This window comes from Homo sapiens, chromosome 12 (genome assembly GCF_000001405.40).
Source record: "Homo sapiens chromosome 12, GRCh38.p14 Primary Assembly".
Taxonomy (NCBI): Eukaryota; Metazoa; Chordata; class Mammalia; order Primates; family Hominidae; genus Homo; species Homo sapiens.
This window is the reverse complement of record NC_000012.12, coordinates 12,939,551-12,964,888: the sequence shown is the minus strand read 5'-3', so window position 1 is coordinate 12,964,888 and position 25,338 is coordinate 12,939,551. Positions and strand designations below refer to the sequence as shown.

Genomic DNA, 25,338 nt, shown 5'->3' with positions numbered 1-25,338 from the left:
ACTGTACATGAAAGAAAGAGAGGACTCAAGATGACACCAAGATTCTTGGTTTGAGCAGCTAGAAGAATGGCTTTGCTACTAACTGAGATGCAAAAAATCTGGGCTGGTGGAGCAGATCTAGGGTTCCAGGAGCCATTCTTCATTCTCTGTCTCCCAACCACGAGCAAGACAGAGATTCCACCTCCAAAGTGTCTCTTGAATCTTATTGTCTCTCTCCATCACTCCACCCAACCCTGGTGGACTAATAACCACCATCATGCCTCACCCGGACTCTTGAGATGGTCTCCTGCTTCCTACCCTGGTCTTTTCTAATCCGTTCTCAATGCCTGGTGTTCCATCGTGCATTAGACAGTCTGAAGCAGATTGATCTTTATAGTAGAAGCTGTCACTTTCTTGCTTAACACCTTTTCACGGTTTCCTGTTGCATCAGACTCCTCTCCCTGGGACTCAAGCTCTCTGTATCATCTGATGCCCACTTCCTACTCCATGCTCATTCTTTGCTACTCCCCTCCTTGCTGCAGATACAGTGGATCTTTCTATTTCTCAAACACACCATGCTCTTTGGCATCTTAGGGCTCCTGCTTATCTTGCCCTCTCCACCTGGAATGCTCTTCCTCCCACTCTGCATGGGCACAGCTGGATCTTTCGTATCCTCTGGGTCTCTGCTTAAATGGTGCCTACTCAGGGAGGCCCTCCTCACCCAACCTGTCAGAGGGACCCTCACTCTATTATTCTCTACCACAACATCTTTTACAGCATTTTCACACTAGTGATTATATATGCACACGTTTTATTTTTCTGTTGGTTGCTCTCCCACCAAACTGTAAGCTCGTTGAGGCCAAGAACTGTGCATGCTTTGTTTACCACTATATCCACAGCATTAAGCACAATGAGCAGCTATGGATGCCCCTAAAAATGTGTTGCGTAAATGAATGAGTGAATATTAACTGTAATGCACTTTATAGCTTAAATACAATAAAGACAGTTACTCTCAGAATAACATTCATACTACCCCTCAAAACAGCCACACCCTCCCTGGATAATCTGGCTACAGGGCCTCCTCCTCCTCTCTCACCTATCCATCCTCCCACTACACTCACCCACTTGTTATTTGGGTAAGAGACTGTGGTCGTCCTTGCTGTGGACATTGTGCAGGCTGCTTCCTCCATCCAGAGCTCTCCTACACCTCACTTGACCTGACTTAGACATTTCTCCTGAAAGGTCTTCTCTGAACCTCGCGCCTATGAACCCACAGAATACGCTGAATGTCTAATGATGTTTTCATTACCTGCCTACCTTCCACCCCACCCAGTAGGTAAGCAACTTAAACACAGGTAGGGGGCCCTGAGTGTTGTTCACTGTAATATCTCAAGCACAAGCACAGCACTCAGCACAAAATAGATGCTCAAAAAAAGTCATTAAAAGAAAGAACAAGCAGATGAATGAACACTAACGATACATTTCTAGGGAGAGAGTCTAAGAGTAAATAAATGGGCTACATTAATATGTAGACTTAACACTTGAATTTAACATAATAATTTGCATGTTGACAATTACATATAAAAATCCTTTGAAATTGTTAGAATCCTGGCTGGGTGCAGTGACTCACGCCTGTAATCCCAGCAATTTGGGAGGCCCAGGCGGGTGGATCACTTGAGGTCAGGAGTTCGAGACCAGCCTGGCCAACATGGTAAAACCCCATCTCTACTAAATATACAAAAATTAGCCAAGTGTGGTGGCATGTGGCTGTAATCCCAGTTACTCAGGAGGCTGAGCCAAGAGAATTGCTTGAACCCAGGAGGCAGAGGTTGCAGTGAGCCGAGATCACGCCACTGCACTCCAGCCTGGGCAGCAGAGCAATGCTTCATCTCAAAATAAATAAATAAATAAAAACAATAAAATAAACTTGTTAGAATCCTTAAGTAAGTTGCACTCTTTCTTAACCTCAGATATGGTTTTTATCATCACTTTGCTTTCAAAACCCTTTAACTCAGCTCAGACCAAATTACCTGAAAACCATCATTGATGGTTTTCCTTTCTGTAAATATGCCACAGGGAAGAGGAAACATTTGTTTAAGTTCAGAAAATCAAGAAACTTGCCCAAGATCAGAGAGCAGGCATCCAAAATTAAGTCAGACTCCAAGCCAGTGCTCATTTGATGCGACTAGTATTTTCAAAAAAAAATTTTCTTTTTTTTTTTTGAGGTGGAGTTTCACTCCTGTTGCCCAGGCTGGAGTGCAATGGCGCAATCTCAGCTCACCACAACCTCCGCTTCCTAGGTTCAAGCGATTCTCCTGCCTCAGCCTCCTGAGTAGCTGGGATTATAGGCATGCGCTACCACACCCAGCTAATTTTTTATATTTTTAGTAGAGAGGGGGTTTCTTCTCCATGTTGGTCAGGCTGGTCCCGAACTCCCGACCTCAGGTGATCTGCCTGCCTCAGCCTCCCAAAGTGCTGGGATTACAGGCATGAGCCACCACGCCTGGCTTCAAAATTTTCTTTTACCCTAGTCCCCAGTCAGAAATAATTTTACATTCAACCCAGGACAAACACACACACACATACATACACATACCCCTCAAACGTTTCACAAAATAATATTTACCATTGCTACCAATGTAAAATAAAAGCAGAGCAAAGCTAATATCACATATTATTTTATTGATATTTATATAGATTATGAAAATCCAAAATAACACAAAACAGAAATGTAGACATGATTTTTATGTAGTGGACAGATATGCTAAAGCATTTATAAATTCATTCTGTGGACTACCTGAGGCAATAAGTACATCTGATACATTGTTCAACCTAGTTTTTTTCTTTTTAGAATCCAGTCAAAGTTGAAATCCTAAAAATTCACACAAATAGGCTGTAGCAATTGTTAACAATAGTAATACACCAGTTATGATAGTAGCACTGAAATTTTTCTTCAATCTTAACCCACATAATATACATGATGTCTTTAAATCATTCTTCAGTATAAGAATTAAATACAGGCCAGGCGTGGTGGGGCACACCTATGATCCCTGCACTTTGGAAGGCCGAGGCAGGTGATCACTTAAGCCCAGGAGTTCAAGACCAGCTTGGGCAACATGGCAACCCTCATCTCTACAAAAAATACATAAATTAGACAGGCATGGTCGTCCCAGCTACTTGGGAGGCTAAGGTGGGAGGATCACTTGAGCCTAGGAAGTCGAAGCTGCAGTGAACTGAGATCATGCCACTGCACTCCAGCCTGGATGACAAAATGAGACCCTGTCTCAAAAAAATAATAATAATAAATTTTAAAAAAGAATTAAATACAATCAGTTATTCTCTTCTTTGTTCACCAGGTTTAATTCAATTATTGATTCAGAGATTTGAAAAGAAAATAGACCTTTTATTGAAATGCTTTTCTTTCAAGCTTCATATTTTCTTCTGAAAAGTAATAATTGTGACTTTGAAAGAAAAATGAGATGTAGCAATATCTCGAATTTTATTTCTCAAACTGATTTTATAATGTTCTCTTCTATGTGTTGCAGCAATGTTGGGAACATACAGCAGCATAATTATGACCTTTATAAGGACAATTTTAAGACTTAGGAATGAACATCCCTTCATTGGAATGCTGGTGCCTCTGGGATTATTTGATCCTATAGGGATATGTGCCTTTGATTTTGACTAGGCTATTTTAAAACTCTGTAGAAATATAAGTCAACATATGGAAAACTGATAGCAATGTGAATAATTCTTGCATACAGACATAAACATAAATTCTGCTCAGTGGAGTTTCAATTGAAGAATTGGAACAAGAGGATTAATTTCCCAGATGGCTTTTCCATTCACGTGCCTGGTGCTTTGTCAAGGATAGCTAGCAGGCTGGGCTCAGCTGGTACTATTGACCAGAGAATCTATATGTGGTCCCTTATGTAGCTTGGGGTTTTCAGAACACAGCAGCTGTGTCCTAGGAAGAGCCTTTGGACCAAGTATTCCAAAAGATCAAAGCAGAAGCTGCAAGGCTAATTTTCACCTAGCCTTGGAATTCACGCATCCTCACTCCCACCACATTTTATTGGTTACAAGAGAGTCACTAAAGCCAGCCTAGATTCAAGTGGAGAGGAATTAGATAGACCCCACCTCTCGGTGGGAGGAATGTGTGATACTTACAGCCACCTTTTAAAATTGCTGCCTTTTAGATTCCTTAAATGTGTTTAACATTTTAAAATGTATCGTACAGCTGAGTGCAGTGGCTCGCACCTGTAATCCCAGCAATTTGGGAGGCCGAGGCGGAATGATTGCTTGATGCCAGGTGTTCAAGACCAGTCTGGCATAGTGAATTTCTGTCTTCACGAAAAATTTTTTAATTGTTTTTGTTTTTAAGACAGAGTCTTGCTCTGTCACCCAGGCTGGAGTGTAATGGCATGATCTTGGCTCGCTGCAACCTCTGACTCCTCCTGGGTTCAAGCAATTCTCGTGGCTCAGCCTCCTGAGCAGCTGGGATTACAGGTGTGCACCACCACACCCAGCTAATTTTTGTATTTTTAGTAGAGATGGTTTTGCCATGTTAGCCAGGCTGGTCTCGAATTCCTGGCCTCAAGAGATCCACCCACCTTGGCCTTCCAAAGCGCTGGGATTACAGGCATGAGCCACCACACCCAGTCTAAAATTTTTTTTTTGAGATGGAGTCTCGCTCTGTCCCAGGCTGGAGTGCAGTGGCGCGATCTTGGCTCCCAAGCAGCTGGGATTACAGGCACCTGCCACCACACCTGGCAAATTTTTGTATTTTTAGTAGAAATGGAGTTTCACCATGTTGGCCAGGCTGGTCTTGAACTCCTGACCTTGTGATCCATCAGCCTTGGCCTCCCAAAGTGCTGGGATTACAGGCATGAGCCACCATACCCAGCCAAAATTTTTTAATTAAAAAAAATATATTAGCTGAGCATGGTGGTGTGCACCTGTATTTCCAGTTATGCCTGAGCCCAGGAGTTTCAGGCTGCAGTGAGCTTTGATAGCAGCACTGAACTCCAGCCCAGGTGACAGAGCAAGACCCTTGTCTTAAAAAAAAAAAAAAAAAAAAAAAGGAAAATAATGCCCCCAAATCAGCTAAATGTGCACTTTTACTATCCAAATACCATGTTCAAAAATATTTGCCAGATGAGATAGTTTTTCAGTTTAACAAAATCTAAATCTTATTTTTGAGTATTTTTCCTCATGGTAACCAGGACTTTGACTACGTGTGGTAAGTGGATATGTCAGCTCCAATATCTGAACAAAATATTTCTACAAGTTTTGCCCACTGGCATCTCGATTTCAATAAATCCATGAAGTTCAGTTAAATTTCTTTAGGTGCCAAAGCCTTATGTTGAATAAACCAGGGCTGTTAGTAGTTTTTTAACAATATTTATTAATTCCGCCAGATTTTCTGGTTGTATTTGTTGTCCACACTCATAATTCCTTTACATTTTTTTCAGTTTAAGTAATATTCAACGTATGGCAATTCCTCAAAGAACTAAAAACAGAACTACCATTGGACCCAGCAATCCCATTACTGGCTATATACCCAAAGGAATACAAATCATTCTACCGTAAAGACACATGCACACGAATGTTCATTGCAGCACTCTTCACAACAGCAAACACATGGAATCAACTTAAATGCACGTCCATGACAGATTAGATAAAGAAAATGTGGGACATATACACCATGGAAGACTATGCAGCTATCAAATGAGATGAGAATCATGCCTTTTGGCGGAACATAGATGGAGCTGGAGGCCATTATTCTTAGCAAATTAACACAGGAACAGAAAACCAAATACCACAGATTCTCACTTACAATGCGGAGCTCAATGATAAGAGCTTCTGAACACGAAGAAGGGAACAACAGGCACTGGGACCTACTTGAGGGGAGAGGGTGGGAGGTGGGAGAGGAGCAGAAAATATAACTACTGGGCACTGGGCTTCATACCTGGGTGGTGAAATAACATGTACAACAAACCCCCGTGACACGCGTTTACCTATGTAACAAACCTACACATGTACCCACAAACCTAAAATAAAAGTTAAAAATTTTTTTAAAAAATGTTCGATAAACAATATACTTTTCCAACGAGGAGATGATATCTAATCCAGTTGAGGCTAAAATAAAATTTAAGGCCGGGTATAGTGGCTCATGCCTGCAACCCCAGCACTTTGGGAGGCCAAGGCAGGTGGATCACCTGAGGTCAGGAGTTCGAGACCAGCCTGGCCAACATAGTGAAACCTCATCTCTACTAAAAACACACAAAAAAAATTAGCCAGGCATGGCGGTGCGCACCTGTAATCCCAGCTACTTGGGAGGCTGAGGCACAAGAATCGCTTGAACCCGGGAGGCAGAGTTTGCAGTGAGCCGAGATCGCACCATTGTACTCCAGCCGGGTGACAAGAGTGAAACTCCATCTCAAAATAAAATAAAGTAAAATAAAATTTAAACACAACAAATTCTCCATAAAAATTGTCTTGTCAGTCACATCTGATCTGACTAAAAGTGTTGGCAACTTACAATATCAGTGCTTTCATTAAGTTGAATCACAAAATCTGTACCATACTGTCATTGCATTCAAAAACACTGCCTGTTATTGTTCTGTAATAGTATAGATTTGATGAGATATTATGGGATACTAAAAGGTATAATTTTTAATTTTTCAGCTGATTTATCATTTTATCATAAAAAATCCTATGTACCATCTCATCCATTCTGGAAGAATAATTTTTGACAGTTGCATGACCCATTTTCTTTTTTGCCCCTAATACACTACTAAATAGGTGATTATATGGCTCTTTCATTAATAGTAGCTGACAACTTATAAATTATTAGTAATCATATGTATTTTTCCTTTGGAAACATTTCTTTGACTTATTGACAAGATATTATGTTGTATTTCCAGGTATGTTTTTTATTTTGAAGGTCCTAAGCTTTCAATTATAAAAAATTTTTTGTAAATAATATGTTGAGTCTGTCATTTTTGTTAAGCCTTGTATATTTTATAAAATCGCATTTAAATAATCTTCACTATCAGGTCTTCCATGTACTTTTTCCTTTTTAGAATGCAACTCAAATAAAATAAAAAATAGGGCTCTCTTTCGGGTTTTGGCGGAGGCAGTTTGAGACAGGGTCTCACTCTGTCACCCAGGCTGGAGTGCAGTGGCGCCATCTCGGCTCACTGCAGCTTCAACCTCCTGGGCTCAAGCGATCCACCCGCCTCAGCCTCCTGAGTAGCTAGGACTACAGGTGTGCACCACCATGCCTGACTAATATTCGTATTTTTTGTAGAGATGGGTTTTGCCATGTTGCCCAGTCTGGTCTTGAACTCCTAGGCTCAAGCAATCTGCCAGCCTCAACCTCCCAAAGTGCTGGGATTACAGGAGTGAGCCACCACACCTAGCCTAGCCCAAAAAATGTTATTAGAGTCAACATTTTTCTCAGTATTGTCAGATTTATACTTCCAGATGCACAACAAATTCTTCATAAAAATTGTCTTGTCAGTCATATCTAGTCTGACTAAAAGTGTTGGCAATTTGCAACATCAGTGTTGTGATTTAATTGAATCAAAAAATCTGTACCAGACTGTAATTCCATTAAAAAAATTGTCTCATATTATTCTGTAATAGTACAGGTGTCAACAAGCTGAACTTGAATATACCTCTATATTTTTATATCATCTGCTTTCTTCTAATAATAAAGCAGCTCTGTATAACAGAATGTATACTAGTTCAATTAAAGTGTTATAATAGCTACAAACTGAAAAAAAAAAAAGTAGAATAACTTCCATTCCAAAAAATATCCTGACATTCTTAAGTGATACTCAGCTGAGAGTCTTGACAATTTGCTGATCAATTGCTACGGCACTTCACAACTAATTCCACATTATATCAACATAAAATTAAACTGGACAGTGTTCACATCCTGATACAAAATTGATCAAACTAGGCATCAAATACCAGAAAACCGAATAAGATGCCCAGGGCCAGCTATATAATTTCTGGAGCCAAATGCAAAACAAAAATACATGGCCCAGGTTGGGTGCCATGACTCACACCTGTAATCCCAGCACTTTGGGAGGCTGAAGTGGGCAGAGTACTTGAGGTCAGGAGTTCAAGACCAGCCTGGCCAACATGGTGAAACCCCATCTCTACTAAAAATACAAAAATTAGCTGGGTGTGGTGGCACATGCCTGTAATCCCAGCTACTCAGGAGACTGAGGCATGAGAATTGCTTGAACTCAAGAGACAGAGGTTGCAGTGAACAGAGATCGTGCCACTGCACTCCAGCCTGGGAAACAGAACTAGACTCCATCTCAAGAAAAAAAGAAAAAGGGAAGAGAGAAAGAGAGAAAAGAGAAAGAAAGAAAGAAAGAAAGAAAGAAAGAAAGAAAGAAAGAAAGAAAGAAAGAAAGAGAAAGGAAGGAAGGAAGGAAGGAAAAAGAGAGAAAGAAAGAAAAAAGAAGGAAAGAGAAAGAGAGAAGAAAGAAGGAAGGGAAAGAAAGAAAAGAAAAAGAAAGAAAGAAGGAAAAGGAGAAGAAAAGGAGGAAAATGGAAGGAAGGAGGAAAGGAAGGGACAGAGGGAGGAAGGAAGGGGAAGGAAGGAAGGAAAAAGAGAAAGAAAGAAAAAAGAAGGAAAGAAAGAGAAGAAAGAAGGAAGAAAGGAAGGAAGGGAAAGAAAGAGAAAGAAAGAAAGAAAGAAAGAAAGAAAGAAAGAAAGAAAGAAAGAAAAAAGGAAAGGAAGGAAGGAAAGAAAGGAAAGAAAAGGAGAAGAAGAAAAGGAGGAAAAAGGAAGGAAGGAGAAGGAAGGAAGGAAAAAGAGAAAGAAAAAAGGAAAGAAAGAGAAGAGGGAAGGAAGGGAAAGAAAGAAAGAAGGAAAGAAAGGAAGGAAGGAAGGAAAGAAAGAAAGAAAAGAAGGAAGGAAAGAAAGAAAGAAAGAAAGAAAGAAAGAAAGAAAGAAAGAAAGAAAGAAAAAGAAAGAAAGAAAGAAATTAAGGAAAGAAAGAAATTGAAGGAAAGAAAGAAAGAAAATATGCAGCCCTGCTTGGAAATGAACAAGTCAATACCCTCTTTCTAAGGGCCTACTGTCCCAACCCATGGCAGAGAGGTGAGCCCAGGTGAGGGGCGGCAGTAATCACATGGCAGAAGCACAAATGGGGAGGCTAGCTGGGCAACCCAGGACACCACATGGTGGCATAGAGTGGGTGGCCAAGAACCTGTCTCAGGAAGGAGGAGAGGCCATGGAAGGCAGGGTGGGGTGTGAATCAAGACTCAAGCCTCAGCGCATGCTTCTGTGTCCTGCCCCACTTCACTTACCAAACACAAATTCAAAGATGCAAGTATTAACAACTTCAATATGGCAACCACAGAGTATTCAATTCCAAGCACAGGGCCCTTCTGAATGGGGTTTCCCATACAACTGCACTGGTTACACCCTCATGACGCCAGCCCTGGAGATGCCAGTGAGCAAAAGAACAAATGGGCCACTCCTGACTGATGCATTCCGTCCCACACAGCCTGTCCTCACACGGCCAGTCATGATAGCTGCAGGATGAAGAATATGTGATGTGCTTTCATATTCTTTTGTGTGTGTATGCCGGTCAAATCATGCTTAAAGGCTCACGTCTCTCTAAAAGCCTGTCCTTATAAGGTGGGAAGAGTCAGGAAAGGCTGCCTGGTACAACAGCAAGAATATGGCCAGGAGACAACAAACCTTGGCTGTCATCTTCAACATTCCATATGGTAAGCACATCCCTTCATCCCTGGGCCTCTGCTTCCTTATTATTAAATTCCTCATGTTGTAACATTGGCTTCCTTATTATTAATCATTAATAGGAGTTAGGCTAGGTAACCTTTAACATTCCCTCCAGCTCTGTTTCTGTGAGAAGGAAACAACATAAATAGGTGTTTGACATAAGATGTTTGGTGTCCTGACTGTTTTATTTCCATTTTTATTGGACTCATTGTAATCAGTGTATTTTGATTAATCAAAGCCATATCTGAGCTGTTTGTTCTGATGTTATTGTAGCACAGAAGCCAAAAGAAATGAGCTGTGAGTAATTTGGATGTGTGTAGGCAAAAAGGCCCCTCATATCCTTAAGGCCTAGCTGCAGATGGGTTAATTCTATAACGCTAGATTTTAAAATAACAATAATTAATACCTGGGACACGTCCTTTTATCTAAGGTACTTAAAGGGCTTTGTGGTCATTAACCCATAAATCCACTGGTCTCAAGCCATCAGGAGCTCAAGAGGAATCTCCTTAGAAGACAAGCACACCAGAAGCTAAAACATCACCAGGAGGAGGAATGACAACCATGACTAACCAGCAGGAAGGGGGTGGGAGGTGCAGGATCAACAAAATAGTACTCCTGGAAGAATTCAATGGAAAATCCTCCTGCAGTTCTGCTGACAGCAGTTTAACCACTCACTATGCTCTTTGAGTGGATGCTCACGGATGTCACATTTCATCATCTGAAAAATCCCTTTACCCTTAACGTAAACATTAGCCTTCACAGCTTCGGAAAGACTGCTATTATACCCAAAGCAGGTAAAGGGGAGCTTAAGGTGTAATTGGATGTAAGAAAATTCTATCATCCCTAGAATCTTCTTCTCTCATAGGAGAAAATGGCTTTTTGAAGTTAAGGAACTCTAAAGATAGAACACCACTTCAGAATGATTTTGTCAAGGGTTTGTTAAGTCTCTCACTTATTTGCAGGTGTTTTCCATTAACACACATCTGTTGAAAAACCACACCACTAAAAAGGACCTTCTGAAAGATCTGGAATTTTATCTTTAGAATCATTCCATTAATTGAATTATCCATCACCCAGGAGGTTCTCCACATAGAAGCAGGTACTATGGGGACATAAAATGTGGAACCTGACCCCTAGACAGCTATAAATCCAATCAGGAGATGAGATTAATTCATATAACAGAAATTGAGACATTTATTATTCATTTATTTCAATTCATTATTACTTAATATGTATTCATAAGTTAACTAATAGGCAGAAAATAGGGTTTCTGTAATTTTGAACAGAACAGACCCCAAGTCTTGTATAGTTCCTGGTGGAAGGTGATCAGCGAGGTCTAGAATGATGAGGGAAGGCAGGAAGAGTCATAGAGGAGATAAGGTGAAGAAAATCCTACAGGGAGGGAATGAATTTGGGTCAAAAATAGGATAAATGGGAATCAAGCACAAGGCAGTTTCGGACAGGGACAGAGGTGAGCACTTGGGAACTTATTTTTTTTGTGAGCCAGTGGGAAAACCAAGGAGGCTAAACCATAGAGCCTGGAGATGTGAAGGAAGTACAGGTGGGTAAGAAAGGGAGAGCCAGATCACAAGCACCTTGAAACCAGACACTGGTTTGGGGTCTTCAGCAGTCCTCTGTCGAAATACATATATTCAGGGGCTGGGTGTGGTGGCTCACACCTGTAATCCCAGCCCTTTGGGAGGCAGAGGCAGGCAGATTACTTGAGGTCAAGAGTTCAAGACAAGCCTGGCCAACATGGTAAAACCCCGTCTCTACCAAAAATATAAAAAACTAGCCGGGCGTGGTGGCATGCACCTGTAATCCCAGCTACTCGGGAGGCCAAGGCAGGAGAATCACTTGAACCCAGGAAACGGAGGATGCAGTGAGCCGAGATCGCGCCACTGCACTCCAGCCTGGGCGACAGAGCGAGACTCCATCTCAAAAAAAAAAAAAAACAAACATATATTCAGGAAGAAAATCAAGGAGTAAATTGGAGGTGGCGGGGTGCGGTTGGTGGGTGTAGGCTGGACACTGTGCTGTGCTGTATTTTGTGTCACCATAGAAGAAAAGGAATATGGTATTCAAGTATCAGCCGGTGACCTTTAATTGTCAGTTCTTTATCTTGGGATAAATTCACAGACTGATTCACAGTTTTGCCTGCCACTGGCCATTTTAATGCCAGTAGTAGACAAAACCACCCTTCCTTATGGCCCAGTGAAACCTCATTACCTGTACTTTGTTGAATGGATGCTCTTTTGAATTAAAATCAAGATGTGGGGGCCGGGCAAGGTGGCTCATACCTGTAATCCCAGCACTTTGGGAGGCCAAGGCGGGCAGATCACGAGGTCAGGAGTCTGAGACCAGCTTGGCCAACATAGTGAAACCCCGTCTCTACTAAAAATACAAAATGTGGTGGCATGCGCCTGTAATCCCAGCTACTCGGGAGGCTGAGGCAGGAGAATTGCTTGAATCCGGGAGGCCAGAAGTTGCAATGAACCGAGATCGTGCCATTGCACTCCAGCTTGGGTGATGGAGCAAGACTCTATCTCAAAAAAAAAAAAAAAAAAAAAATCAAGATGTGAGAAAGTCTCCAGAGATGGCTTTTTAGGCAATAGGTCAGAAGAAGGACGAGGTATCCTGGTGTAAGTCACCTGAGGGCCTTGTGTAGCTTCCCTGAATGTGTTGCAATACACAGGGAGGAAGCCGTCTTTCCTAGATTTATACCCACTTTCAGATTTACACCCGCTCCCTAAGGCCAAGGTGCCTCTGGTCAGCAGTAGAATGAAAAAGAATTATTCTCACCAAGGAAATCTCTGTAGAAAAGTTGCTGTGAAACTGGAATAGGTGTGTCTTTCTGTCCTTCCGGTTCTTTTTATAGATACTGCAGGAACCTCAGTGAGAGCCTACGGTTCTTCCGCCCATTTGGGGAGAGATTAAAGAAGCTGAGGTTGGCTCTTTCTTACTCATTGGCAGTTACAACTTTGCCAGCACTACAGCCTAAGCTTCCAGAGTGGACACGGAGAAGGTAAGTTGGAATTGGGGGGCCATGTTCTCAGCTGTAAACCTGGGTCACTCCAGCCATCTGGTCTGGGGATAACTGAAGGGAAGTAGAGCTAAGGGGTATTCAATTGCAATTGATTTTTTTTTTTCAAATGAATATGTGGGATCTTTTTCCTAGGCTACCTCAGTCAAGACATGGACTTTCGTACTAAACTGTTCAAAAAGGTATTTAAAGAAAGGGACCATTTTGTACAATTCTTTGATGAACACACAATAGGTGTTTAACTACAACCTGCTGCATTGGATTGACTTGAATTAACTGAAAGAAGGAACAGTCATTAAAATTACTGGGAAATTTTATTCCCAGTAATTTATCTGCCTGTCTCCTTCAAGCAGTGCATCAGTGTCTAGAACGATCCAATGATCCATTAATGTTGGCAGTCCTTGTTCTGGAGTCTGATATAACTGAATTCCATCAATCATGCAAACATTCTCATACACCTCCTTTTATGAAAAAGATTTTGTATTAGCTTTCAAAGCCTTGGAAATTAGCATACACAAATGGACATATTATCAAGTGAAGCCTGTTCAGCTTTTCCCAGCAGGATGAAGCCAAGATAGTTTTGAAGGGTTTAGGTTGCCTTTCTCATTTCCTTTACTGACATCCTATATAAAACTGCTATAAATTTGGGGTAATATGTGTGATGGCATTTCCCATCCCCTTAGACTATGTTTGCATATATCTCTGAATTTCTTCCCCCAGGGAAGCTTAGCATTTAGATAAGTATCAGGAGTCAAACAAAATGTAACTCAGGCTCTTGACAGTGTCCTAGGAACAATTTTGGTAAGGACATTTATTTCATATGCCCAGGTGTCTTCATTTCAGAATGAGAGAAATTACAGTGCCCAGCATGGACCACCCAATAGGCATTCTTGTAGGTATTAGGTTGGTGCGAAAGCAGTTGCGGTTCTTGACGTTACTTTTTTTGTTTGTGTGTTTTTTGTTTTTCGGTTTTTGTTTTCAGACAGCGTCTCACTCTGTCGCCCAGGCTGGAGTGCAGTGGTGCGATCTTGGCTCACTGCAACCTCTGCCTCCTGGGTTCAAGCAATTCTCCTGCCTCAGCCTCCCAAGTAGTTGGGAATATAAGCGCATGCCATCATGCCCGGCTAATTTTTTATGTGTGTTTTTAGTAGAGATGGGGTTTCACCATGTTGGCCAGGCTGGTCTTGAACTCCTGACTTCAAGTGATCCACCCACCTTGGCCTCCTAAAGTGCTAGGATTACAAGCATGAGCCACTGTACCCTGCCTTGTTTTTTGCTTTTTGAGACAGAGTCTCACTCTGTCACCCAGGCTGGAGTACAGTGGGGCAATCTCGGCTCAATGTAAACTCTGTCTCCTGGGTTCAAGCGATTCTCCTGCCTCAGCCTCCCGAGTAGCTGAGATTACAAGTGTGCACCACCACACCCGGCTAATCTTTGTATTTTTAGTAGAGATGGGGTTTCACCATGTTGGCTAGGCTGGTCTTGAACTGCTGACCTCAAGTGATCGGCCCGCCTCAGCCTTCCAAAGTGCTGGGATAACAGGAGTGAGCCACCGCACCCAGCCTTCTTGCCATTACTTTTAATAGCAAAAAGCACAATTACTTTTGCACCAACCTAAGAGATGCAGAGTTGTCAATTTGTCTCATCCTTTTTCTGCAGGGCATCAGAAAACCATTCTGGTGAGGTCCACACCCATAAGTCACCATGTACAAGGACTGCATCGAGTCCACTGGAGACTATTTTCTTCTCTGTGACGCCGAGGGGCCATGGGGCATCATTCTGGAGTCCCTGGCCATACTTGGCATCGTGGTCACAATTCTGCTACTCTTAGCATTTCTCTTCCTCATGCGAAAGATCCAAGACTGCAGCCAGTGGAATGTCCTCCCCACCCAGCTCCTCTTCCTCCTGAGTGTCCTGGGGCTCTTCGGACTCGCTTTTGCCTTCATCATCGAGCTCAATCAACAAACTGCCCCCGTACGCTACTTTCTCTTTGGGGTTCTCTTTGCTCTCTGTTTCTCATGCCTCTTAGCTCATGCCTCCAATCTAGTGAAGCTGGTTCGGGGTTGTGTCTCCTTCTCCTGGACGACAATTCTGTGCATTGCTATTGGTTGCAGTCTGTTGCAAATCATTATTGCCACTGAGTATGTGACTCTCATCATGACCAGAGGTATGATGTTTGTGAATATGACACCCTGCCAGCTCAATGTGGACTTTGTTGTACTCCTGGTCTATGTCCTCTTCCTGATGGCCCTCACATTCTTCGTCTCCAAAGCCACCTTCTGTGGCCCGTGTGAGAACTGGAAGCAGCATGGAAGGCTCATCTTTATCACTGTGCTCTTCTCCATCATCATCTGGGTGGTGTGGATCTCCATGCTCCTGAGAGGCAACCCGCAGTTCCAGCGACAGCCCCAGTGGGACGACCCGGTCGTCTGCATTGCTCTGGTCACCAACGCATGGGTTTTCCTGCTGCTGTACATCGTCCCTGAGCTCTGCATTCTCTACAGATCGTGTAGACAGGAGTGCCCTTTACAAGGCAATGCCTGCCCCGTCACAGCCTACCAACACAGCTTCCAAGTGGAGAACCAGGAGCTCTCCAGAGGTACATTCCTGGGGGATTCAGGGAGCAGGGAGGTGCTCCTACAGGAGAAGCAGGAGAAAAATCATGCAGTAGGATGAGCCAAGAGGAAACTAAAAGAAAATGGTCAGATTTGGGGTGGGTGGCTTCATAGTTCAAGCATAGAAATGCAGACTCCCAGAATCAAGGTTAAATTTTTATGAAAAATGAGTTCTTCCAAAGCATAGAGCTTTATGGGGAGAGACCAAGACATACATGAATCAAAGGCCCTAAATAAAGAGGGTATGACTCTGAATGTTCACACTGGTTAAAGAAAGGCATCCACTATAAAATGAGTTAACTGGCCCTAAATTAGGCCTGGACCATGCGATTTTGCATGATATCTAATGTTAAGTCCAGATGTATTGGCCTTCAAGTGCAACAGCCGATCCTGGCAGCAGTGATGGACATTTTAAAAATTTGTCTCAAAGCTAATTTGCCCAAACGTAATCTTAAACTGATTCACAGGACTCACCACCTCATTAAAGCCATAAAGCCCAATCACTTCTGGATTTCAACTTTTCAAAACATTTACTATTTAAAATCCTTCAAGGTTTACAAAAAGCGAGAGGAAGAGCCATTATATCCTAATTCTGAGTAAAGACTCAGATGTGTGATCATTAGGAGAAAGAAAGTAACTTGCTTATGTGACATTTTCATAATAATTTCTGGGTCATATTTTGATTCAAGCCACCTGACTCCACTTTGTTAAGGAATAAAATACATTATCCATGGCAACAAGGATGCTTGGACCCCAACAACCTGGGGGAAATAGTGGCTAATTTTAATTATCTGGAAATATGTCAAAACTCATTAATTCCTTTTCTGAAACATCTGGGCTATTATCCAAAACCCAATATCATAGTTTTACATCAATTTTTGTGTCTTAATAGGCATCTGATTTCTCACATTTTATTTCTAATATGTAATGATGATGTTATTTTATATATTGTACAGCACACATAATGTTCACCAGGCTCAAAAAAATTCACATAAGCTTCCTTTTAAGTACATACACTTTTTTTGAGCTGTAATCTGTGGCTAGTTGCGCATTCAAATTAAATCCTGTTCAGATAAATACATCCATTGATTCTTTTCAGTTCAGTTGACCAAAAGTTGGAAATTGATACTACACACTTTTTCCCATAAAAGTTTTCCATTGCTTGTTGGTGAGGCATAATCACATCACTGAGTTTTGTGGCAGAATTGCAGAGTCAATCTTTCCTGAAAATACTTCTCATAGTTCTTACTAGAAGATAAAACTTTTTGTGTTTTCGTTGCTGCTGTGTGTTTCCAGGAAACAAAAGTCAGAGCAAAAAAAAAATTCTTAGAGTTTCACAATAAACCAAAATACACTGAGCTTTGTAATGATCAATATTCCTTACCCCACAAAGTAGCAGGCAAGCATTGAACGGGCTCGAAGGAGTATCTCAGTTGAAGAGCAAAGGCCTGCTAAAATACGATGATCCCTGGTTTGGCCAGGAGTCTCCTATGACTCAAGCAAGGTTAGAAAACCCATCTCTGAGCAGGAAATAGTCTGCCAGTGATAGCCATCATCAATGTAATTTGAAATTTTGTGGAAAAAAAATCAATAGTGTTGTAAAGAACATACAGATTGGCTGGGCTCTGTGGCTCACACCTGTAATCCCAAGCACTTTGGGAGGCCGAGGCGGCTGGACCACTTCAGCTCAGGAGTTTAAGACCAGCCTGGGCGACATGGCGAAACCCCGTCTCTACAAAAAATTAGCTGGGCATGGTGGCACAGGCCTGTGGCCCCAGCTACTCAGGAGGCTGAGGTGGGAAGATCACTTGAGTCTGGGAGGTTGAGGCTGCGGGGAGCCACGGTTACACCACTGCACTCCAGCCTGGGTGACAGAACGAGACCCTGTCTCAATTTAAAATAAAAGAAAGAAGGGAGGGAGGGAGGGAGGGAGGAAGGAAGGAAGGAAGAAAGGAAGGAAGGAAGGGAAGGAATTGCCCTCCAAGATTGGGCAAAATAACCAGAAGCTTAAGCTCAGAAAGTAAAATCAGAATTTAGGTCATCTGGAAGAAGTACAAATATCAAAATTTAGAGGAATGATTAAAACTCAATTAAAAGTGCAGGATTCCACCTAGCTAGGAAAAACATACAAATAGATACGAAATAGGTTAAGAGCTAGAGAAGTATAATAACAATAACTTGAAACGTCCTAAGTGTTATGGTAGGTCATGAGCTGATAGTAGGGAAACAACTTACCACTGTCTTTGCTTTTGTTTGCTCAAGAAACAATCATGGTACTGTATAAACAGATGTGTGGTCAGCAAGAACAACCGTGCCATTGTACCCACAATCGGTCAGTCTCTAGCAAGGATACCCACTGATCCACTAATGAGAAGTGTGGGAAGTTTGGGGAGGCTTGGCAGAACCCAACAAAGATGATTAAAGGGTATAACATCAGACCTGTGTGGAAAGGTGAAGACAGTGAGAATGAGATGGTCATTCTTAAGTTTTATGTGCTTTACCAGACTATCCAAGTTCTCTCTCGAAATTCTGTCCCAAAACACATGTTGTTTCAGTCCATGAGGCATGCATTTGTGATGTGACCCTTCTGACTAATGCTGTTTGTAGCTGTGATTCCAGTCACATAATTATTTAATTTACCACTGGGTTATGAGACCAGAATTATTCAGCTAAAAGGAGAGTAGGACAAGGGATCCCTAGCTGGAAATTTCACAAGTATGGCCGGGCGCAGTGGCTCACACCTGCAATCCCACCACTTTGAGAGGCCAAGGCAGGCAGATCACCTGAGGACAGGAGTTAGAGACCAGCCTGTCCAACAGGGTAAAACCCCATCTCTATTAAAAATACAAAAATTAGTTGGGCATGGTGACGCATGCCTGTAATCCTAGCTACTCGGGAGGCTGAGGCATGAGAATCACTTGAACCTGGGAGGCAGAGGTTGCAGTGAGCCGAGATCACACCAATGCTCTCCAGCCTGGGCAACAGAGCAAGGCTGCGTCGAAAGAAAGAAAGAGAGAAAGAGAGAGAGAGAGAGAGAAAGAGAGAAAGAGAGAGAGAGAAAGAGAGAGAAGAAGAGAGAGAGAGAAAGAGAGAAAGAAAGAAAGAAAAGAAAGAAAGAAAGAAAGAAAGAAAGAAAGAAAGAAAGAAAGAAAGAAAGAAAGAAAAGGAAGGAAGGAAGGAAGAAAGGAAGGAAGGAAGGAAGGAAGAAAGGAAAGAAAGAAAATTTCACAAGTGTGAAGACCTCTCCCCAAGAGGCGGTTGTCCTGTTGTTTTCCATCTCCAACTAAAGATAGTGGGTGGAAATGGACGCAAAGGCATGAGAGATTTAGATTAAAAATGAAAATAAGAGTTGGTAGACAGAAACAGATCAGCAAAGGGGATTAAGAATTTCATTTCCCTGGAAGTCTATCTAAAGAAGATTAGGCTTTATTCCTCCGAAGTGGATTATGGACTTAATTTTAAGATACAAAAACATCTGGATGGAGAATGAAAATGCAATCAGGTGTATTACTGTAGGACACCAAACAAATGGGTATAAATATTATTTGCTCTGTGTTATAAGTGTGTCCCTGAAAAGCTGTATATTGATTGGACTTTTAAAAATCAGTTGGCCTCAATCAAAATCTTGAGCCAAAAATATAGATACATCCTCTCACAGCATTTGATTGAAATTTAACATGCTCAGCATATTGTTAGGTACAGGAAACTTCAACAAAAAGATTAGGGTAAAGAATTTGTGTACATGAAATGAAGCAATTAAAATGCAAAATAAAATAGAGATGTAATTCTGAAATTATTTTGATGTTTAACTACTTTCCATTTACATGATCCTGGGATTATGTTATTTTTTAACATATTCATTAATTAGTTGATGATATAATACTTGTTTTATATTTAATTTGGAGTTGGTAAATTTTGGAATATTTCTCTTCCTGAATAAATGATAACTAACCTTCAAAATAAATAAATAGAATAAAATCAGTAGGTCTTTTAATTGAGAATCTTAAATGTGATATAAAGAGCAGAAATCTTAGAGTAGAATATCAGCTATGAATTGTTTTATGAGTGGAAAACTTCTAACTATTGCCTGCCTTATCTGTTTTAGACTAACAGGAATATTGTTATATCATATTTGCTAACACTAAGACCCATCTGTATTTGAAAGCGTTGGCCCGGCGTGGTGGCTCATGCCTGTGATCCCAGCACTTTGGGAGGCCGAGGAGGGTGGATCACCTGAGGTCAGGAGTTCAAGATCGGCCTGGCCAACATGGTGAAATGCTGTCTCTACTAAAAATACAAAAAATTTGCTGGGCGTGGTGTCGGGCACCCGTAGTCCCTGCTACTTGTGAGGCTGAGGCAGGAGAATCACTTGAACCCGGGAGGTGGTGATTGCAGTGAGTTGAGATCATGCATTGCACTCCAGCCTGGGCAACGAGAACGAGACTCGAAAGAAAGAAAGAGAGAAAGAGAAAGAGAGAGAGAAAGAGAGAGAGAGAAAAAGAAAAGGAAAGAAAAGGAAAGAAAAGGAAAGAAAGGGAAGAAAAGGAAGAAAGGGAAAGAAAGGGAGAGAAAGAAAGAAAGAAAGAAAGAAAGAAAGAAAGAAAGAAAGAAAGAAAGAAAGAAGGAAGGAAGGAAGGAAGGAAGGAAGGAAGGAAGGAAGGAAGGAAGGAAGGGAAGGAAGGAAGGAAGGAAGGAAGGAAGAAAGGAAGGAAGAAAGGAAGGAAGGAAGGAAGAAAGGTGTCACAGTACTGTAGGCATTTTTCCATCCAGTGTTTGGATGCATACAGACAAACCTCATATGATTCTTTTTGAAGGCATTAGATAATCAATGAGTCTATATAATGTAAAAACGGATCAACGAGTATAAAACGAGATGAACCAAGAGAACACTATTCCTGCAAACATAAGCCCTTCTGGTTGTTTCCCTAGCAAACTCCAACTTTTGCTGAACATAGCCCTTTTTGAACATTTTTTTCTTCAAGGCACACTCACCTTACCAGGGGAAATCCAACTTCAATGGTCCCAGGTGGTGTCATGTTTGTTTGTTCTTTCATGGGAAGTTCTTTTTTGTCACCCTCAAATTACAGGTCACAGAGAGAGAACTAGCTTAAAGCAAGGAAGAAGACAGTGGGGTCATAGGCAGGATTTGTTTGGTCTGAGGACAGATAAGTCAAGGATGGTGTCATTCACAAAGATTCAGAGAGCTTAGCTGGACATAGTGGCACACACCTGTGGTCCTAGCTACTCAAGAGGCCGTGAGATGGATCACTTGAGTCCAGGAGTTCAAGGTTGCAGTGAGCTATGATTGCGCCACTGCACACTCTAAAAAAATTACATTTCAATTTAAAAAAACAAATTCAGGGAGTGAGAGCATAATTGGGCAGCAAAGGGCAGTGGAAAGAGTGCAGAATCGGGCCGCATGTGCCCAGGCTCCGAGACTCTGCTTCGAGACCAAACCAAGGTCCTCAAGCCCTAGGAGCCTCAGATTCCTCATCTTTAAATGCTGCTCATCACCTCCCTCCCTGCCTTCTCCACAGATAAATGGAAGGTCTTACTCAACTCGGACTTCCTATCACACAGTGGTGCAGGTTTAGTATAAAAAAACGCTCAGCCTTTTGGTAAACTCATGAACTATAGCTAGAGCTGGAAGAATTAGGCTTTTCTAACTGATGATCTGGTTTGATGAGAATGTTGGCTGAAAGTTGGTTCCCAAGAGACTGAGTGTGAAGGAGCCTTGTTATGACACAAGGAATGAAGTTGAGCCAAGGATTCAGTTTGTTCTGCCATGAAGGAAAGACAAGCATTTCATGTATCACAGCATCAGCCCCTTTAAAAAATAAAAAAAATAAGTAAAAAGCCACTAGGAAGAGGATGTCAGAGCATCTATTATAACTGCAGCACCAGCACCACCACCAATAATCATACACAAAGGATAGCTCTGTTCCAAGGACTTTATATAACATTTTACATAATCCTCAAAGCAATCCTATGAGATAGACTTACTGTTATGACTGTCATTATTCCTCTTTTATTTCCATCAGGAAACAAAGGCAACAAAAGGTTAAGGAACTTGGCCCTAGGTAGGTAACACAAATGAGAGAGCCAAGCAGTCCTTTTCCAGGGTCCATCCACTCAACATGAAACCCCTAAGTGTGAACCCTACTAACACGGTTATGTCTGTGATCATCAAAAAACAACTAGGTATCCAGCAAGTACCTGCTCTTAGAGACAGGCACAGCTCCTGTCTTCACAGAGCTTACAGGCTGGTTGAGGAGGCAGCCATTAAACAAATACCTATGTCTGTGATGATCCTACAACAATATAGAATCGTCTCAAGTGATCTCTTTTATTATGCCCAATTTTAAAAATTGAATTCAGGTGAGACATGGTGGCTCAGACCTATAATCCCAGCACTTTGGGAGGCCAAGGTGGGAGGTTTGAGGCCAGGGGTTTAAGATCAACCTGGGCAAAATTTTTAAATTTTTGAAAAATTGAATTCAAGCTTGTAGAGAATCAAGCCTAAAGGGACTGTTGAAAAGAGTGAGATGCCCAAGGCCACACGGTAATACTGAGAGAGCAAGAACTGACTTGGAGCTAGTGGTCTCCCAACGCCAATGCGCTTCTCCTAAACACTCACACGCTACCCACGCTTTCTACATCAACTTTAAATACACTCCTTTAAATCATAAAGTTTTTCAATAACAGCTACAACTGATTGATAATTCCTCTTATTTATTTATTTATTTAGTCTCGCTGTGTCACCCAGGCTGGAATGCAGTGGCGTGATCTCGGCTCACTGCAACCTCCGCCTCCCAGGTTCAAGAAATTCTCCTGCCTCCACCTCCCAAGTAGCTGGGATTACAGGTGCACGCCACCACGCCCAGCTAATTTTTGTATTTTTAGTGAAGACGGGGTTTTGCCATGTTGGCCAGGCTAGTCTCGAACTCCTGACCTCAAGTGATCCGCCTGTCTTGGCCTCCCAAAGTGCTGGGATTACAGGCGTGAGCCACCGTGCCCAGCCTCAGAATTCCTTTTAAAGAGTGAAGAGCCTGTTTGCAAGCCATGGAGTTTTCCTGTAGTCCTCATGTGCTGTTTCCGATTGACTCTCGGACACTAACCCAGCCCTTCCCTCCTTTGGCTTTCAGCCCGAGACAGTGATGGAGCTGAGGAGGATGTAGCATTAACTTCATATGGTACTCCCATTCAGCCGCAGGTAAATGTACTCGCCTATATTCACCCAGGAGGGACTTAGCAAGCATTCCTTCCTTAGGACAGCCTCAGGCTTCATTTCTAATGGCTTTACTGACCTGAGAGAGGAGAGACAGAGCAGGAGCATCCCTAAAGGCATGTGGAGCTTGAGCCACCCAGATTTAAGCCAGACCAGGTGGCGCAAGACAGCTTTCACCCAAACCCTCCCAGTCTTCATCGCCATCAACAATATAGCATTCTGATGCAAGTGCGTGTCCCTGGAAAGAAAGGGCAGCTTGAAGCTTCTGTGTGAAGGTGAAGAGCAGCAGGCTTACCGAATTTTGCCTCGGGGACAATACAGGATTGTAAATATGTCTGAGTTTGGGGTCAGCTTTTAGTAGCAGTTGTCTGAACCTATCACCTGAGCCCCACTGACTGCCTCTCTGAGTCACTGTCTAGCTCCAGCAGCCCAGGCTGCCCTAAGAACTGGGCAGGGTATGTCATCATCATCTGGATGCCCAGATGGATGAACAAATTTTAATCCTTTCAGGCAAAAACAGAGGGAGCACTGCTGAGTAGTTTGGGGGTAATTCACATTTGGGCTGTGAAGACTTGAAGACATACAAATCTAAACAGCCAAAAACATCACACTGGGACACAATTCTTACATTACGGGGATCAAAAGTAACTAAAGCCCCAACGTGAAAGCCACCCTCAGATCATTTATTCAATGAATTTACTAGGCCACTAACTAAGCTAACCCCTCTGGTATGTTATCTGAGAATTTGCCTTTTCCTAGAATGACACATGGACCAGGCCATAACTATATCATGTGCTTTAATCAACCCTCAGGAGGGCATTTACATAATGAAAACATCTTTATTGTCCCCTCCAAGAGTTTCTTGGATTCATTTCAATTTCCAGTGATCAGCTATTCAAGAACCTTGCTTGCAAAAAGATTCTTGTTCGTGGCTAAGGGGTAGCCTGGTATAGGTAGGCTCAGTATGTTTCTTCTTTTGTTATTGACAAAGAATTAAATGAAGGTGAGATAATAATACTTCAAACATAACTTTAGGGCCTGGCACAGTGGTTCATGCCTGTAATCCCAGCACTTTGGGAGGGTGAGGTGGGCGGATCACTTGAGGTCAGGTGTTCAAAACCAGCCTGGCCAAAATGGTGAAACCCCATCTCTACTAAAACTACAAAATTATCTGGGCATGGTGGTGCATGCCTGTAATTTCAGTTACTCAGAAGGCTGAAGCAGGAGAACTGCTTGAACCTGTGAGGCAGAGTTTGCAGTGAGCCCAGATCACACCACTGCACTCCAGCCTGGGTGACAGAGCAAGACTCTGTCTCAAAAAACAAAAACATAACTTTGGAGAATATCATTTCTTTTGTTGCTCAGAAAGTTGATGATGGCATTTCTTCCTTTCCAGACTGTTGATCCCACACAAGAGTGTTTCATCCCACAGGCTAAACTAAGCCCCCAGCAAGATGCAGGAGGAGTATAAATCTACAGGAAACACAAGTGGAGAAAACCCAGCAGACCGTCCTGGGTAGCATAGCCCTGATAGCCCACGGGGGCCCACAGAGTCACGCTGCCAATGAAGAGTCAGCATCCCACCTTCTGTTTCCTAACCCCTCCATCCACCAGGACCCTCCACCAGAAGACCACCATTTTGAGCATAATTACAATCTTGCTGGCCACCCTACCTTGACTGTGTCTCTTTCTTCATTCGTGTAACTGCAAAATTCCCTTTCTTAGCAATGCTGGAAAAGAATTGGTGCCTCTTATTCACAGAACTGAAAGACCCTGTCTGAAGAAATTAAGGGCATTCTAATGTGACAACGAGGTTAGTAGCAGCTTACTACTGGGTCACATGTCTGGTCAATTTTTAAATTGTGCTAAAAAACACAGAACATAAACTTCACCATCTCAATCATGTTTAAGTGTACAGTTCAGTAGTGTTAATCATATTCACACTGTTGTGAATTCTCTAGAACTTTTTCATCTTGCAAAACCGAGATTCTCAATCCATTGAACAGCTCCCTCCAGCCCCTGACAGCCACCATTCTACTTTTGGTTTCTGTGAGTTTGACTACTTAGATACCTTATGTAATAGAATCATACAGTATTTGTCTTTTTGTGACTGGCTTATCTTTCCTAGCATAATGTCCTCAAGGTCCATGTCACATGTTGTAGCATGTCACAGGATCTCCTTTTCTAAGGCTGAACAATATTCCATTGTATGTCTATACCACATTTTTTTTTATTTATCTGTCAATGGACATTTGGGGTTGCTTTCACCTCTTGGCTATTGTGAATAGAGCTACAATGAACATAGATGTGCAAAAATCTCTTTGAAATCCTGCTTTCAATTATTTTGGTGTATACCCAGAAGTGGGATTGCTGGATCATATGATAATTCTATGTTTAATTTTTTTGGGGAACGTCCACACTGTTTCCACAGCAGCTACAGCACTTTACACTCTTATCAACAATGCACAGAGTTCTACTTTCTCCACATCCTTGCCAACATTTGTTATTTCCTGGGGTGTTTTTATTTTTGGTTTACAGTGGTCATCCTAATGAGTGTGAGGCATCTAGTAATTTTTTTGTAAAGGAACTCAAAATACGATAGGTCCAGAATTGTCTACAAAAGTTAAGGCCAAATCCTCAGGATCACCACAATTGGGCGGTTTAAAGAACACGGACATTGCCATGGACTTGCAAG

General features: G+C 42.1%; 1 protein-coding gene and 1 long non-coding RNA gene across 8 annotated transcripts in view; one reads left to right on the top strand and one right to left on the bottom strand.

The window, feature by feature from the left end:
• Nucleotides 1–25,338, bottom strand: part of GPRC5D-AS1 (GPRC5D and HEBP1 antisense RNA 1) — a 94,773-nt gene that overhangs the window by 57,610 nt on the left and 11,825 nt on the right. The window lies entirely within an intron of this gene.
• Nucleotides 12,719–24,314, top strand: GPRC5D (G protein-coupled receptor class C group 5 member D). Of its 2 annotated transcripts, NM_018654.2 has the most exons (4): nt 12,719–12,782; nt 14,460–15,399; nt 22,561–22,628; nt 24,040–24,314. In NM_018654.2, exons 2-4 carry the CDS (start codon nt 14,505–14,507, stop codon nt 24,112–24,114), a joined length of 1,038 nt encoding a protein of 345 aa, NP_061124.1. In that variant the 5' UTR covers nt 12,719–12,782; nt 14,460–14,504; the 3' UTR covers nt 24,115–24,314. The 2 variants fall into 2 exon arrangements, with proteins under 2 accessions (NP_061124.1, XP_016875072.1); XM_017019583.3 differs by lacking the exon at nt 22,561–22,628.